General features: G+C 38.2%; 1 long non-coding RNA gene across 7 annotated transcripts in view, besides 3 other annotated features; it reads right to left on the reverse strand.

Annotated features, from left to right (window-relative positions):
• The window catches only part of SLC44A3-AS1 (SLC44A3 antisense RNA 1), a 203,881-nt gene that overhangs the window by 170,475 nt on the left and 15,435 nt on the right, over nt 1-17,971 (reverse strand). The gene's annotated exons all lie outside the window — the stretch shown is intronic.
• Nucleotides 5,879-5,928: a silencer, noted in NCBI's record as "silent region_1099". NCBI's record gives its function as "represses an Ori minimal core promoter by ATAC-STARR-seq in GM12878 lymphoblastoid cells {active_cell/tissue: GM12878}" and the evidence as "EXISTENCE:reporter gene assay evidence [ECO:0000049][PMID:35858748]".
• Nucleotides 15,468-15,547: an enhancer, noted in NCBI's record as "active region_1349". NCBI's record gives its function as "activates an Ori minimal core promoter by ATAC-STARR-seq in GM12878 lymphoblastoid cells {active_cell/tissue: GM12878}" and the evidence as "EXISTENCE:reporter gene assay evidence [ECO:0000049][PMID:35858748]".
• Nucleotides 15,628-15,687: an enhancer, noted in NCBI's record as "active region_1350". NCBI's record gives its function as "activates an Ori minimal core promoter by ATAC-STARR-seq in GM12878 lymphoblastoid cells {active_cell/tissue: GM12878}" and the evidence as "EXISTENCE:reporter gene assay evidence [ECO:0000049][PMID:35858748]".

The following is a 17,971-nucleotide window of genomic DNA, read 5'->3' on the forward strand; positions in this document are numbered from 1 at the left end:
GAAGGAATAAATAAATCCGTGCTTGTTCACAGATAACCATGATTGCCTATGTAGAAAATCCAAAACAATCAACAAAAATATTCCTGGAATTAATCAGCAATTATAGCAAGTTTGCAGTATACAAGGTCAACATATAAAAGCCAATTGCTTTTCTATATACCAGCAATGAATAAGTGAAATTTGAACTTTAAAACACAATATTATCTACATTAGCATTTCCAAAAATGAAATACTTAGGTATCAGTTTTGTTTTAAATGTGCAATATCTATATGAAGGAAACTAAAAAATTCTGATGAAAGAAATCAAAGAAGAACTAAATAAATAGATATTTCATGTGTATTGATAGAAAGACTCAATATTGTGAAGATGTCAGCTCTTCCCAGCTTGACCTATAGATTCAATGCAATACAAGTCAAAATCCCAGCAAGTTATCTTGTGAATATCAACAAATTAACTGTAAAGTTTACATGGAGAAGCAAAAGACCCAGAATAACCAACAAAATATTGAAGGAGAAGAAAAAAGACAGACGACTAATACTACCTGACTTCAATACTTACTATAAAGCTATAGTAGTCAAGACAATGTGGCATAGTGAAGGAATAGACAGATAAATGGAATAGAATACAAAGACCAGAAGTAAACCCACATTAATATTGTCAACTGATTTTTTACAAAGGTGCAAAGGCAATAAACTGGAAAAAAGATGATCTTTTCAATGATAGTGCTGGAATAAATGGACATCCATGTGCCAAATATAAAAATCTAAACACAAAAATTAACTCAAAACAGCTCATAAACCTGAATTTAAAGCATGAAACTATAAAACTCCTAGAAAATAACATAGGAGAAAATCTAGATAATCTTGGGTTTGGCAATTACTTTTTAGATATGACAGCAAAGTCATAACCCATGAAAAAAATTAATAGGCTGGACTTCATCAAAATTAAAAACTCAAAAGACCCTTTAGGAGAATTAAAACACAAGCCACAGACTTGGAGAAAATATTTGAAACAGATGTATCTGATAAAAGACTATTACCCAAATAGTCTCATTCACTTCTGTTAAGATTGCAAAATAGTATAACCACTTTGGAAGTCAGTTTGACAGTTTCTTACCAAACTAAACATACTCTTACCATATGATCCAGAGACCCTGCTTTTGTAGAAATTAACAAACTGATTGTAAAATTTATGTGAAAATTCAAAGGACTGCGAACAACCAAAAAAAAAAAAACTGAACAAAAAGAACAAAGTTGGAGGACTTAAACAAAATTTACTATAAATCTATAGTAATCAAGACAGTATGCTATTTGTGTATGGACAGACATAATTGATCAAACAGACAGAATAGAGTCCAGAAATAAATCTTCATACTTACAGTCAATTGATTTTGACAAAGGTGACAAAGCAATTCAATGAGGGAAAAGAGAGTCTTTTCAATAAATGGTGCTGGAACAATTATATATTCATATACAAAAAAAACAAAAAAAATCTTAGACCCTCATCTCTTACCATGTATAACTCAAAATAGGTCATAGGTTAAAATGTAAGTCCTAAGTCTATAAAACTTCTAGAAAAAAAAAACAGAGAATCTTTGTGACTTTGGGTTAAGCAAACACTTGTTAGATGTGACACAAAGCAAGATCCATAAAAGAAAAAAAATTACACTGGAATTTATCAAAATTAAGTGTTTACTTTTCAAAAGACATCACTAAGAAAATTAAAACAGAAGCCACCATCAGGGAGAAAATATTTGCAAATCACATTTCTGATAAAAGACTTGTATGCAGAACTCTTACAACTTAATAATATAAGACAAACATGAAGAATGAAATTAGACTCCTATCTCTCCTATATACAAAAATAAAGTCAAAAGGGATTAAAGATTTAAATCTAAGACGTGAAACTACAAAACTACTAGAAGAAAACATTAGGGAAATGCTTCAGGATATTGGTCTGGGCAGATTATTTTGTGTAAGACCTGAAAAGCACAGGCAATAAAAGCAAAAATAGACAAATGGGATGACATCAAGCTAAAAACCTTTTTGCACAGCAAAAGAAACAATCAACAAAGTGAAGAGACAACCCACGAATAGGAGAAAATACTTGCGAACTATCCGTCTGATAAAGGGTGAATAACTAGAATACATAAGGAATGCAATGCAATTGTTTTTAAAAAATCAAATTTTGAAACAAGCAAAAGATCTAATAGACATTTCTCAAAAGATGGCATACAAGTGGCAAACAGGTATATGAAAAAATGCTCACCATCACTAATTATCAGAGAAATGCAAATCAAAACTACAATGAGATATCATCTCATCCCAGTTAAAATGGCATTTATTAAAAAGATGCTAGTGAGGATGTAGAGAAAGGGGAAGGAACCCTCATACACTGCTGGTGGGAATGTAAATTAGTGCAGCCACTATGGAAAACAGTATGGAGGTGCCTCAAAAAACTAAAAATAGAACTACCATGTGATCTAGAAATCCCACTACTGACTACATATCCAAAAGAAAGGAAATGAATGTATCAAAGAGATATCTGCACTCCCATGTTTATTGCAGCACTATTCAAAACAGCCGAGATACGGAATCAACCTAAGTGCCCATCAATAGGTCTATGGATCAAATGTGGTGTATATACACAATGGAATATTATTTGGCCATTGAAAAAGAATGAAATCCTGTCATCTACAGCAACATGGATGGAACTGGAGATCATTATGTTAAGAGAAATAAGCCACACATAGAAAGGCAAATATCACATATTCTCACTCATATGTGGTAGCTAAAAAGGTGGCACTCACAAAGACAAAGAGTAGACTGGTGGTTACCAGAGTCTGGAAAGGATGGAGGGGAGGGAGGAATGAAGAGAGCTTGGTTAATGGGTACAAATACAGAGTTAGATAGAAGAAATAAGACTTAATGTTCGATAGAACAGCAGGGTGAATATAGCTAGCAATCATCTATTGTACATTTCAAAATAGCTAGAAGAGAATAAACTGAATGTTCGTAGCGTCAAGAAAAGATAAATGATAATGGTGAAGGATATCCAAATATCTCATATACCCCCAAAATAGATACATCTATTTATCAATTTAAAAAGACAACTCTGGTCAGGCACAGTGGCTCATGCCTGTAAATGTCAGCATTTTAGGAGGCCGAGGTGGGTGGATTACCTGAGGTCAGGAGTTTGAGACCAGCCTGGCCAATATGGTGAAACCCTGTCTCTACTAAAAATATAAAAATTAGCCAGGTGTGGTGGCAGGCACCTGTAGTCCCAGCTACTTGGGAGGCTGAAACATGAGAATTGCTTTAACCTGGGAGGTGGAGGTTGTGGTGAGCCGAAATTGCCCCACCACTGCACTCCAGCCTGGGCAACAGAGTGAGACTCTGTCTCAAAAAAAGAAAAAAAAAAAAAGACAACTCAGTTTTTAAAATGGGCAATAATGTAAATAGACATTTTATCAAAAAAGGAAACACATATGACTAATAAGCATACGAAAGGATTTCCAACATTAGTAGTCATTAGGGAAATGCAAATTAATACCACATCCACTAGAATGACCATAATAGAAAAGACTGACCTTACTAAGTCATAGATTGTTGGTGGGAAAATAAAATGGTACAGCAACATTGGGAAACATTTTTGCAGTTTCTCAACATGTTAAATACACACTTACTGCATGACCCAGCAATTTCGCTTCTAGGTGTCCAGTCATCAGAAATGAAAACATATGTTCACAGAAAAACTCATATGCACATGTTCATAGCTGCAGGATTCACAATAACCCAAAACTAGAAACAATTTAAATGTCCATCAACTAATGAATGAATAAGCATATTGTTGCTTATCTATAATGGAAAACTACTAAACAATGGAAAGGAACAAACTACTAATATGTGCAACAGCATGGGTAAAACTCAAAATATTATTAAGTGAAAAATGCCAGGCACAAAATATAATATATTGCTTGACTCCAGTTACATGAAACTTCTAGAAAAGGCAAAACCATGAAGACAGGAAACAGATCAGTGGTTGCCTGAGGCTGAGGGTGGGAAGCAGGATTGACTGCAAATAGACACAGAGAAAACCTTCTGGAGGTGATAGAAGTGGTCTAAAACTGGATTGTAGTTATGGTAGCAAATCTGGAAATTTACTAAAAATCAACTATGCAGTTACAATGGATGAGTTGTACGGAATACACATATATTGCCATTACTTTTAATGACAAAACCACAATTACTTTTGCAACAACCTAATAAATTAAACCCCAATAAAGTCATTTTTTTAAAACAGAGCTAATTCTTGCATACTTCAGTTTGTAGACTTAAATTCATACTGATTTCATGAGCTTTAATTTTTCCCAGGCATAAATCATCCTTGCTAATATGAAAATCAATTTGGACAAAAGCTTTCCACTTGCCTTCCTCAACCTGTAATTTATTTTGAAAGCACAGAAGTTTCTGTTGCATGCCTCTCCTTCAAAACCTTTGCTGTCTTCTGATTATCTCACCTGGGAGGGCTCAGTCACAGGGTCAGAACGAAAGAATTCACAGTCATCATGAAGTGCAGGTACTATTCCATCTTCTATGTACCATCTTCCAAATCTATAGCAATGATTACTTGGAGCCAAGATCACTGAATTTTAAAGACTGAGAAATTCATCACAAGACTTCTAATTTCTCATTAACTCTCACTTTTATTAATTTAGAGATGAAATTAAATTTATTACAAAGCTACTCTCTACCCTTCCAGATCCAGAGCCACCCAAGGACTGAGTTCAAGAATCTTAAAATCCTAGGTAAAACTAACTGGCCCATTTGGCCACACTGCAAATCCTTCTTTCTTCACACTTGAAAAGTTCTGTGGGTGGTTTAAAAGATATTTTTAAATTTTCACAAAACATATAACCCAAATCAAATCATGCTTATGATCTCTTTCTAAATCTATAAATTTCAACTTATTTGAATCACTGATGAAATTATCACTCCAAATAATACAGCTGGATGAAATCTGAACCAAACCATACCTACCAGTCTGTGCAACGAAATTCAGAGCAAAACACACGCACAATTCTGGCAAGTGTTCATTGCCCACATCTACTAGCAGGAGACCCATGACTCTATTTACAAATCGTGGGTTATACATGAAATGTAACTTTTATGTCAAGATAATTATCTCTCCAAAGGAAATAATGACAGTTATATCTTTCAAACTTGCTTTCCTTTTCTTTTTGTTTGAGGCCACTCAGTTCTTCCCAGCTACTGTCAGCACTGCTTCCCTACAAAGGAGAGTATCTGACACGAGGCTTTTATTGAGAGACTGTTTCAGTTAAAACCTCTCTGAGATTCTGAATGGCAGAAAAATTGTCTCCCAGAAGAAACTTACCAGATCTAGCAGAGTAAAAGTCATCAAATGACAGAATCTCAGAGTTGAAGACCACCCACCTAACCCAGGAATCATCTCTACGATATCTCTTGCATTCATCTGTATAATTCTAGGAAACCATGACTCTCTGAGTCCAGAATTCTATAGTTTAGTCACTTTTTCTATTTTGTTTAGCCATTTGAATATGTCAGAGAGTAGGGATCAATTCTGGCTTTTTTAAGCTAGATGGCTAAACTTCTGAATCTAGGGAAAAGTATACCAAAAATAAAAAATAAATGTCATTAATTTAAGCACCCAAGAGAAAACAGCCCATTCCCTCTCCCTAGGATCATCCCATTGACCATTCAGCAGTCGTTTCATTTCATGGCCTTCACATAATGTGCACGGAGGCCACTTCCCACCTACAGGAGGACTGATGAGCATGCAGCAATCTGCAGTTTCTGTTCCTCGTTCACAGTTTTTATTTTCATAAGGCCATGATAGGTACTTCCTCCACCCAATGTGGTATATTTAAATTGTGAATCATTATACAGGAAGTAAAAGGAATTCCCAAAGCTCTATACATATATCCTTTGGGTTTTTTTTTAATTAAATGAGGTTTCATGAATCAAAAATAACACGTACAAATTATGTAATAAAAACAATTCATAAGGCAGGCTTTCAAAGAAGGACTTAGAGTGATTATCTATTGTAAGTATCATTGTGCCAAACAGTTATTACTCACAGGGCTGAGGGTGGCTTGCATTCTCTCTAAAAATAGATCTTTCCATGAAAACACATAATATGTTCTTGTTGCTGTTCGAGGTAAAAACTACAAAAGAGGATATTTTTATCCTCTAGGCAGTTAACTTTCATTCCAAATAGAACCAACCAAATCATTTACAAAAGGAAAAAAAAAGGAACCCAGACATCTGGAAATTTGCTGTGTTTCTTTTCCTGCAGTTTACATTTCTGAAATTCCTTTCCTTATTACATAAAACCATACTCTCTAACCAGTAATATCCAATAATGAATGTCCCCAGTTTGTAGGCAGTGACAGTAAATTCAAGCATCAAAAACAAAAGAAAAATAAACAAAAAGAGAGAGACAGAGATCATTCAAAGAATAAACAGTCCACTCTAACACATCTTTTTCTGTCATTTCTCTCCCAGGCTCCACATTGAAAGGCAGTGCAGTGTTGCAAAAGAGCCTGATCTGTAATTAGAAAGGGCTGACTGCAAATATCTGTGTGAGAACACTGGCTCCATCCCTTACTACCGATGTGACCTTGAGCAAGATTCTTAACTAGCGGTTCCATTTGCTCATCTGTAAAGTGTGGATGATGGTATCTCTCTCGTGGCGTAGTAGGACTAAATTAGATACATGAATAAAGTGCTTAGCACCCTGCCTAGCACACGGCAGTTAGCAAGTAGGATCCTTGCTCTTAGACTTGAGCAGGATTTTGAGGAAGGAATGGCTGAAAACTGAGGGAAAAAAGAAAAGAAAGAAGTGAATGACATAAACAACTGAAGGAGGCAGTTCTGCCTGGTGGCCTGCCCAGATATTGGAACCCTTTGTCCGTATTGATGCATTTGATACTACATATTTGCATCTTGGTGGCCCCAAAATCACACACCAGTGATTTTTCCACCTAATATATTTGTAAGGTAGCTATTCGTAAGCTCCCATTTTTTTAGAGGCCAAGCTGAAATACTAAATGTTGAAGGCCCCAAAGGCAAAGCCAGGCAGGAAAGCCACTGCTTACTGTCATCATTCTGCTGCTTCATCCATCAGCACCAACAGTAGGTCTAATTGTTATTTTCTATTTTTTTTTTTTTTTGAGACGGAGCCTCACTCTGCCTCCTAGGCTAGAGTGCAGTGGCGTGATCTCAGCTCACTGCAACCTCTGCCTCCTGGGTTCAAGAGATTCTCCTGTCTCAGCCTCTCGAGTAGCTGGGATTACAGGTACGCACCACTACACCCGGCTAATTTTTTTGTATTTTTAGTAGAGAAGGGGTTTCACCATTTTGGCCAGGCTGGTCTCGAACTCCTGACCTCAGGTAATCTGCCTGCCTTGGCCTCCCAAAGTGTTGGGATTACAGGCGTGAGCCACCACACCCAGCCCATTTTCTTTTTTTTTTTTAATCTCTAATACGTAAATTTAGGTGAAAATTTAAAATATTCATGATAATACTCTAAATAGGTTAAAAAAATGTCCACATCACAAGAACTAGCAGGTGACATGCACAAATGAAAACACAATTTTATTTTGGGATAAAAATTATGCATCACATTTGTGCTGGATTTCAATAATTCAAAATTTTTAGAATAAAAGCCCTACTCCCCATGTGTAGATCTTAGCAGTCAATATTATTCTTTTCTATCTCTTTTTCTAAGCAGTAACATCTAAAATTACTGAACGACAGGCAAACACTTTAGCAGACCTACCTACCTACCAGGTTCCCTCCCATCCAGTCCTATGATGCATGGATGACCCTAAGAGACAATTTCCTAGTGACTGTGGCCCATTTCTAGCACAATTACTTACCAGGAATGAAAAGAAACCCAAGAAGAAAGCCAGCAAGCCATTGAGAACAAATTGCAAAATACATGGTTTTTAAACCTTAAAGACAGGTTACTGGGATCAATAATCCGCAAGTTTGAGAACCACCATCCTGAATGCTTGAGATATCTTAGAAGCACTGCAGTCCTGAATTAGCAGAAAGTCCAGAACTGGAGGGGGTTTCTCATAGAACTTCCTGAAGGATGCTAATTATCAACCTAAAACCCAAGAGATGGCACTTTCTCCTTAATCCCAACCCCATAAAAAGCAGCCTGGGAGCCATTATGCAGCCATTATCTTTCCCAAAACACACAGAAGAGAAGGGGAGAGAAGAAGAAAGGGAAAATGAATGAAATCAGTGGAGGTGAAGGGAAAGGGCCGGACGGGAGTTTTGCCATCCTGAGTCTAAAAAGCTGAATGAAGGAAAGACACATTATGTTCAGGCAAGGGGGGTTGTGTGCCTGCAATTCCACACCAGCCTGATGCCTCTCAGGCAATGTACTATGGGGTGCCCACGGCTGGGATAATCCATCCCTTCCCTTTGAGAAAGGCAACAACCTTCCCATTTCCAGGCAAGACTCACAACCTCATACTCACTAGGAGTGTAACTGAGATTTCCCAACATTGCATTTCTATTCCTGCGGGAAACACTCAGTGCCTTTGTGATCAGTTTTCAGATGGCAAATAGGATATTTTTCTCTTTCTTAAATTGGCATGGTTTTAGGCCCAGCACAGTCAGATAATAAAGACTTGGCTTTTAGCCAATTTTATTTGACAAGAAACTTGAGAATTTCCAAAAGCGTAATATGGGCATTGATTCACAGTGTCTTTAAAAACTGTATACCAAAACACACGTGCACATCTAGCGTGCAAATGCCTTGTAAGCGTCATGTTTTTCTACCCGTCTTGGTCTGCTGCCCTGCTTCCTGTCATCGTGAACAGGATGTGACCCAACAGGATGTAGTGCTCCCTTGTTTTCTGTTTTCCAGCTCTAAATAACGATGTCTGGGTTGGATGACTTGATCATTGACCTCTAGTGACCATGGACAACCAGAGGAAAATCCACACTCCCATAATCTGAGACTCAAAGCCTGGAAGGTGGCTGGACTTTCTATTCTTTCTCTAGGTTGCTGGTAGTCTTCTCTTTCTAAGTAGGTAAACTTGGGTGAACAGCAGGTAAAAGCCGAACAGCTGATCCATCATCTGACTGGATCCGTAACTGTTCTTCTGCATCTCTGCAGAGCTGTGCTGCTCTAGTGGGGAGCACTTTGGACACCGCAGGAGAATATGACAGGGACCATGGGCTGACTCACAGCCCACCCACCACCCCACCACTCTCCAGCCCCCTTGCCGGGCACTCCACTTGACCATCTGAGATCTCGGGCACTTGCCTACCTGGATGTGTGGAGAGGGTCTGATCCTGACCATCACAGCTGGCTCCTTCTAAAGGGCTGTCGTTTATTTAGTGCCTATCAAGGGCCTGGCCCTGTGCTGGGACTTCACAGACCCAACAGTATATTATTACTCCATTTTATAGATGAAATAGAAAGGTTAGATAACTTGCTCAAGGTTAAAGCTTTTTCTACTCTGGCACTCTTCTAAAGGAGCAGTAATAGAGAAACCTGGAGACATGGGAATTGCCAGTATGACCAATAGCACACCAAGGACAAACACTGTAGAAAGACCAGAATGGTCACCTTTGACTCAACCCCAGCTCCTCTTAGTCACCTGCCGTGCATCAATTTGTCCAGCCCTTTGGGAAGTCATTTAAATCTCTCACCTCTTCCAGTCATTCAGATAACATCTGCTATAGACTCACTACTCCGCTGTCTTTATGTCCCCACTGCAGTCCTGTGTACCAGAGGCTGGTCCTCTAAGAACCACCTGTGAGTGTCTGTTCTATCCTGCAGTCCTCTCCATGCACAACAGAGAAACAAAAAAACAGGAAGAGGGCCCGAGCGCCGTGGCTCATGCCTATAATCCCAGCACTTTGTGAGGCCGAGATAGGAGAACCACTTGAGGCCAGGGTCTTTACAAAAAAAAAAAAAAAAATAGCTAGGTGTGGTGGCATGCACTTGTAGGTCTAGGAGGCTGAGGCAGGAGGATCACTGAACCCCAGGAGTTTGAGGCTGCAGTGAGCTATAATTCTGCCACTTTACTCCAGCCTGGCCAACAGAGCAAGATTCTGTATGAAAAGAAAAGAAAGAAAATGGGGAGAGGGAGGGAGCGCTGTCCCAGGCTGGCGTTCTCCAGCTTTCAGAGCTGAAATCCCAGTGGTCAGGGCTCAGGCCAGCAGACTACTGCCTCACCCCCATCCGCATTACTGCAGGCTGGCTTGGGCCACCAAATGGTACATTTCCAGTATCCACAATGTAAAGAAACCTCTGTCTTATTGCAAAGCATATTATTGTCCACTGGGCCATAAACAGAGGAAGGAAGATGGGTTTGGGAAAAGGCAGGAGGGAGTTAAGAACTCTATTGGCAAGACACATTAAATTTGGGGTTTCAGAGGACCATCTAGGTAGAATTTCCAGTAGGCAACTGGAACTCTCTATCTGATGGAACTCTGAAATACTAAATAGTACCTTGGTTCTCCCACAGTATAATTATATTCATGAGAATCGAAACTATCTCCCATAATGTGAATCTCTTCACCATAATTTACCACTGAATAAGACCCAAATATGCACTGGATTTTAAAAACTGTGATTTATGCAGCTAACAGTTCATAAGTCAAAATTAGAATCCTTCCCTAACTCCATACTTAACCCTGAATTAACCTTCAGATGACTATGATGTTTTTAAAATATGTGGTGTTTAAAGGGCAAAAACAGAGTCTATTTGAACAGTTAAAAGAATTTTAGTAATCTATGGCATGTGTTCTCAGCCTTAGCCACAAATTTTGATACCTGAGCCAAATAATCTAGAGATTATTTGGTCCAGAAATTAATTAAAGGATTCTTTTTAAAAATTCTAATTGCACTAAAGGTTGAGAAACAATGAACTCTAGTTTACTCTCTCCAAAAATATAATTTTCCAAAATACTCAGCCTCTCTAGTGATTAAAGAATAGGATAATAACTCGTCATCATCTCATATTGTCAAATAGGCAAATACTAAAAAGAATCCTACTATCCAAGCATTAACAGAGTGTGTTTTCAAACCATGAGTTACTACCCATTCATGGATCATGAACTTAACCCCACCGTATCTGGTATTTTAAAAAATGTTTTTGAAAAGAAAAGGAAGAGGAGAAAAGAGAGAAAATTTATTGCGCCTAGTCAGGAAAATATGAAAATTTATTTCAGTTATACTTGTGTGTGTGTGTGTGTGTGTGTGTGTGTGTGTAAGTGGGTCACTATACAAAATGTATGTCTTCCAGTGAGTCAAAAGATTTGAAAAACACTCTAGAATGTTGAGAAAAGCACACTCCCCTGGGCTGCTAGTGGCAATGTAATTGGCACAATTTTTCCCAAGGGCCCTTTGGCAGCAGCCTTGAAAAGCTTCACTTTGATCTGGGTGTTTACTCTTCTGAGAAATTATTCTTTTGAAATAACCTCTCAAATGCACATTTGCATGTAAAGATGTACACGTCACTGCTGTTTTTCACAGTGAAAACTTCAAAATATCCAACCGTATGAATTACAGTTAAATACATTATCCATGAAGCAAAATACAACGCAGACATTAAGAATAATGAAATGGATTGATATCTATTGATTTGGAATGATGTTCAGATACATCAAAAGAAAAAGCAGGTTACAGTACAAAACATTAGGCACAGCATAATCTCATTTTGGGAAATGTGTACTGTATTTATAATAAATCTAAGCCATAGAAAAGAGAAGTTAGGAGTACAGGCAAAGCATGACCTTCCGGGTTCCCACATCCTAGCTCTGCAACTTCCCGGCTCTGCAACTTCCCAGTTACACCATCTTGGTCAAAAAACTGAACTTCACAAGATAATCCTTGTACCTACCTCAGAAGATTGTTGTGAGAATGAGCTGAGTTTATACAGGTAAAATTCTCCAAGCAGTGTCAAGCATTTGGTAAGCACAAAAGAAATATTAGTTCTATCTATACCAGAGAGAGAATGAGAGATTTCACATCAGAAAATCTTAACAGTGGCCATTCTCTGGGTGCTGGGATTACGAGCAAATTTCATTTCCTTCTTTATACATTTTGTATATTTAAATTTTATAATCAGAAAAAGACAAGACAGCATAAAAATTAAAAGTATATAATTTTCTCTTAGGGTTCTAAAGTGTCTTTATTTTGATAACTTTAGGTTAAAAAAACAATACTTAGAATGAGAGTAACAACATGTTCTCCTTGGATTGTGCTTACTTCTTTCAAGAAATTCGGTTTGAGGGTCTTTTGCCCAATCAGGCAATGAACTCTGCTCTGAAATTTCATTTCCCTGATTGTGGAATTCTTTCTGTGACTTCAGAGGCTGGTACAAAGATTTTGCTTTCCAATCTCCTTCCGTAAAAGGTTTTCTGCTTTCTCTCACTCTATCAGTCTAGAGTCTACTAGCAGAAATCTGTATTAAATTGTCCCATTATACAGGCCTGAAAGCGACTCTCTGTCTCAGTATCATACCTTAGACGATTCCATTTCTCATGAAATGATGATGACATCATGTCCAAAGAACACTTCAAACTGAGTTGTCCTTTGTGTTTATCCATGAGTTAAAAACAGGGACCTTAAATGGCCTTGTGTGTGGGTGGGGAGACTCATTATTAAAGAAAATGGGGAATTACAGAAATGCACGGAAAAAAAGGATTTAGAAATCATCTATTGTTTCTCAAAGTCCATTATTAACACACTAGCATATTTCCTTTCAGTCTTTTTCTTTGTAATCTTAGATTGCTTTAGACAATTTATAGACACAATTAATCACTTTTTTTACTTGATATTATATGAAAAGTGTGTACCATGCTATCATATAATTTTCAAAAATATTTTAATAACTGTGTAAAGTGTTCTTGAGTGAATAATTTAATTATTTCTTTTTTAAGGAACATTCTGATTGTTTTAGCTATTATAAACAGAACTATAAATAAATTTTGTACAAATTTTGTATGAAAACTTTAATCTTTTTACATATGTAAAATTGTTTTTTTTTAACATGTGTAGAATCCAAAAAATGGAATTACTGTATCAAAGGTCATGAGCTTTTTAAGTCTTAGGATAGTAGTTACAATATTACAACTGACCTGTTATCAAACTACTCTCTATTACAACTGACCCTGTTATCTAATTACTCTCTTCCATTGGAATTGGCATCATAAACTGGTATAATGCTTTAAGAAAGCACTGGTAATATGGATTAATTTATGTGCAGCCAGGTTCCAAAAAGGATTTGAAGCAGTTTACAAAAGCAAACACAGTTAAATAATTTGATTAAGTAGAAAAATCCAGGTAAAAGGGAAAAGTAAGAAAAGAAACAACTAGCATTTATTGAATACTTATTGCATATTAGCACTGTGTTAAATTCATCGTATATAATTTCATTTAATTCCTGCAGCACAGAGGTAAATATTATTATCCCCATTTTCTAGATAAGAAAATGGAGGCCTAGGCCAGGTGTGGTGGCTCATGCCTGTGATCCCAGCACTTTGGGAGGCCAAGGTGGGCAGATCACATGAGGTCAGGAGTTCAAGACCAGCCTGGCCAACATGTTGAAACCCCATCTCTACTAAAAATACAAAAATTAGCTGGGCATGGTGGTGGGTGCCTGTAGTCCCAGTTACTTGGGAACCTGAGGCAGGAGAATCACTTGAACCCAGGAGGCTGAGGTTGCAGTGAGCCAAGATCACACCTTTGCTCTCCAGCCTGGGTGACACAGCGAGACTCTGTCTCAAAAAAAAAAAAAAAAAAAAAAGAGAAAATGGAGGCCTAGAAAGTTAATAACTTGCTCAAATTCACAAAACCAGTAAGAGACAAAACAGTCAAAGTCTGGAATTTGAGCTCTCATCCATTATGCTGCACTTCATGTGGGGATGTACTAAAGTACATTTATTAGGGCTAAGCCACTTTCCAGTGGTCTATGCAGCGACAGAGGAAAATTTAAAGATTTGTGGTATTCATATGTTAAACACAAACCAATTTCTTCTCAGTGTGAGCATACTATTTCATTGCACTCTCTCCAACATTTGGATCATTTTATTTTTAACGTGCATACAGTACTTAAGACATTAGTCAGCGAATGCTATATCACTGTTGTTTTCATTTTAATATCAGGAGTTTACATCTTTCATATGATAATTTATTCCTGTGTCTGCATGTCTTCCTTTGTAAACTGGCCAACATTTTTGCTCATTTTTCTGTTGTTTTCCCCTAAAATTTTTATGATCCTACCTTAGAATAAAGATACAAGGTTTTTAGAAACTATTTGCAGTAGATATGACAATCCCTAGTTTTGAATTCCTATCATTTTACATTAATTTATGTCTGTAGTCAAGTATTTTCCAATATGATTTTCTATTACTTGAAAACTTAGTCCTTCATCCTCTAGAAACTTGGCAAATAGTAAAATTTACATCTGTGAAGTCTTTCTATGATACAATGCCTGTTTAATTCTCATTCATCCAGAATATATTTCAAGCCATGATGTAAATTGAGAACCTATACACTTTCTTTTTATTATTACTGCTTATTTATTATTTTATTCATTTATTTTATGTGTAGCTTTGTTCCAACAAGAATTTTATTTATTCATTATTATTTATGTAGTCCTTCTGTCTATAACATGTAGTTAATTCTTGCACAGTGTATGTAATATGCAGTATCTTTAGGCCACTGAGTGTACTCCACAGAAGTCATCCTTCTGTCACTGTAACCCTATCACGTGCACTGATAACACAAGTACTCCCAAAATGACCCAGTCTCCTTTTGAATTTGATAAATTGCCTGAATATACACTTAGGTAAATTTTAACAATACTTTGCCAAGCCTTCTACCCCACGAAATAATCCTAGTGGATTTAGTTTGAAATAGCATTAAATGTACAAATTAACTTTGAAACAAGTCCTATCTTCACAATGTTTTCCTTTCTTGACATGATGGGCCTTCTGTTTATTCCAGCCTTCTTTCGCATTGCTCATTGAAATTTGTGCCTTTATTTCTATCTGTTACATTTGTTTCCCATTCTGCCCCCACTTTAGTTTCACTTTGTATCTTCCCATTTCCTTAGAGAATGAACAGCCACACATAATGCAATAGGACTTTTATTTAGGGTAGATGAGAAATCCTAGATCAGTTTTCATTTTACTAAACAATTAGTTAACAGAAGCATTGCCTAAGAGGCCTGTGCTCTAACTAGAACGGCAGAGTTCTCCAAGTCATTTGTTTCATCTGGTTAATAACCACTTGAAAGCCCTGTGCTCTCTTTCAAGTTACTTGGCTCCATCTTCTGGTTTGAATTATGAGTACTTGGAGTAAGGGCAGTTAAAAGTTGCCAGAGCAGGGCTGAGACTGGGGTGAGGTGAGTTGCGCATCTAGGGTCCAGATTTAAGGAAGCGTCTGCTCTCAGGCCCCCTGGTGCCTCGTCCACCACACCTGGTCCCAGCCTGCCCCAGGGAACCGGCTGCTGTGAGCCAGCTACCATCTGGCAAGCAGTTGGGAGAGGGAGCCACCGTTTCCCCCATAGCTCTGCCCTGGGCCTGCACAGTGGGAGTTGCTGTCACCGTCCACAAGGAGCACTTGGCCCAGCCTGGCTAATGGGCCCCACTCTTGTTTCTCCAGGTCACTTTTGTGTTTTGTAGATGCAAGAGCCATCTACAGCTGGAACCGACTGACAGCCCAACACCATCTAAATGCTCTTACAAGATCCGTAAAGCCAAATCATTTCCATTTGAGAAGCACTTTGTCTGAACTGTGTTATTGGTCCATGGGTCATGACCTCCCTCTAGCCTGTGCCACCCTAACTGCCCTTAACTGTCCAGAACAACAACCACCCCTGCCCCTGAAGCCTTCCCTGAAAGGCTTCAAGCACAAGAGCTCGTTTTTTAAAAATCCAAGAAGAGCTGAATATGAGCAGATGAAAGCAGCTATAATAAAATGATTATAAAACCTGTATGGGAGGGGGGTTTAGATAGATGTGACACTTGATTCCACAGTCTTTCCATGCTGTTCAAATGCAGAGAGTAAAATATTTTTGGTTTTGTGCTATTTACACTTAGTAGTGTTCCAATATCTTTAATTTGTGAGTATTAAAAACATTCTTTAGTTTTATTATTTTGAAATGAATACTCAGTAAATCTTCCAAAGATGTAGAGGAGGGTTGGGTAAGAGAAACTTATATAAACGTCTTAGTTAACAAAGTGAGGGATATTCTCCTTAGTTAGAAATGGCTCTAAAAACCGAAAAACTAAGATTATAAAATTTAGAATGAGAGATAAAAGGAAAAAGAAAAGCAAAGCAAGGTTGAGGAGCAAATAAGAGGGAAGAGAACATCAGAGAGCAGAAATGTGGCAGGAGCAGGAAGAGGCCCACACACAGTAAGACCCCGGGACAGATTCGAGGCAGCAGACAGGGCTGGGGCATTCAGTGTGGGGCAAATGGGCCTCCCCACCACCACCCCACACAAATTGCTCACAATAATCCTCAAAATTAGCACTTAGTACAATCATTTTTGTTACTAATAATGACTGTATGCCTTTGAGAAAGTTGAGGCACACAGTTCCCCCACTTAAAGCAGCAATATTGATCTATTTCATTATAATGTTATTTGTCTCTTAAATCACTTGTTATAAAAGCAAATAGATATATCAACCCATAAAAGACACAATGGTTTACATTCTTCATGCTCTGAGTGCTGCTGTAAGCCCTGTGACAACAGCTGTGCTTTTTGGCAGTGAACATGAACTCACATCTGTCAGTGCTGTCAGCCATGGAGCCCTCTCCTGTCCCATCCTGAGCTGATATCCAGCACTGTCTGTGGTTTACCCCACCATGGCCTTGTTGCTTGTAATTTAATTTGTGTCCTAGAAAACAACTATGCCTGGATCAGCCCTCTACACATACAAGGTTTCTGTGAAGGGAGCGCCCAGGGTCATCCAGTCAAATTGGATTAGGGCCTAACCTAACAACTCTGTTTTAACTTAGCTACGTCTTTACAGGCCCCGTTTCCTTTTCTGCTTTCCCTCTCTCAGAACAAAGACAGCACTGTTGTGAGACAGAGTAGGGATGGGACTTGACCTCCCTCCCCCATGCCCCACCAAGGACTTTTACTGCAAGCTGATCGGTCTGTGGGGATCCCGATCAGACCATCCAGACCTTGCATCATAAATCTGAGGTATTAGGGGTTAGGGCTTCAACATATGAATTTGGGGGGACACAATTCAGCCCATAACAAATGTGAACTTTTAAAAAGTTAACCTCAGTTATCGAGAACTCTTGCTCACCAATCTAGAATCTCATTTTCTGACAGCCTCACACAATGGAGTTGGCACTTCTCTGGCATCGTTGTCATGCCAGACCCGTTCATGACTGTGGCAGAAGCTCCTGCAAGTGCAACAACTTGTGAAAGATGCACAACATGGGGTGGGTGGGGAGCAGGAAGGACAAAAAGAGCCAGAGCTGCCTGATTGTTTTGTTTTCCCACTATCCAATAAGCAAATTAATATTATTATATCTGCAGCACTAGTCTATAGGAATTCATATTCTAGGTCAGAGTTATTGCTTTTTTGTGTTCCTATAAATGATATATACAACTTGTTTTAAGACAGATTCTGTGCCCTGCCTTTAGAGATCTTAATCTAGTCTGGGTGGGCCCAGGATCTGCCTGTTTCAGCAACGCCCCAGGAGATTCTGTCTTGGGAGCCACGCTGCTAGTGGTGATAAAGCAGTGCCGTCTGGGCTGTGCACCAAACAAGGCCCCAAGACCCACAGCTCCCAAGTCAATCAGCTGATGGACTTTGAGTCAAATCAGCTGATTCCTTGAGTTGTACAAGCACATTCTCCTAATTTGCTACAAATTAAACAGGTCTGTTTCCTATTTCATTGTTAACCTAGGCTTTTAAAATTTAT

The sequence above is a fragment of the Homo sapiens genome, chromosome 1 (genome assembly GCF_000001405.40).
Source record: "Homo sapiens chromosome 1, GRCh38.p14 Primary Assembly".
In the NCBI taxonomy this organism is placed as follows: domain Eukaryota; kingdom Metazoa; phylum Chordata; class Mammalia; order Primates; family Hominidae; genus Homo; species Homo sapiens.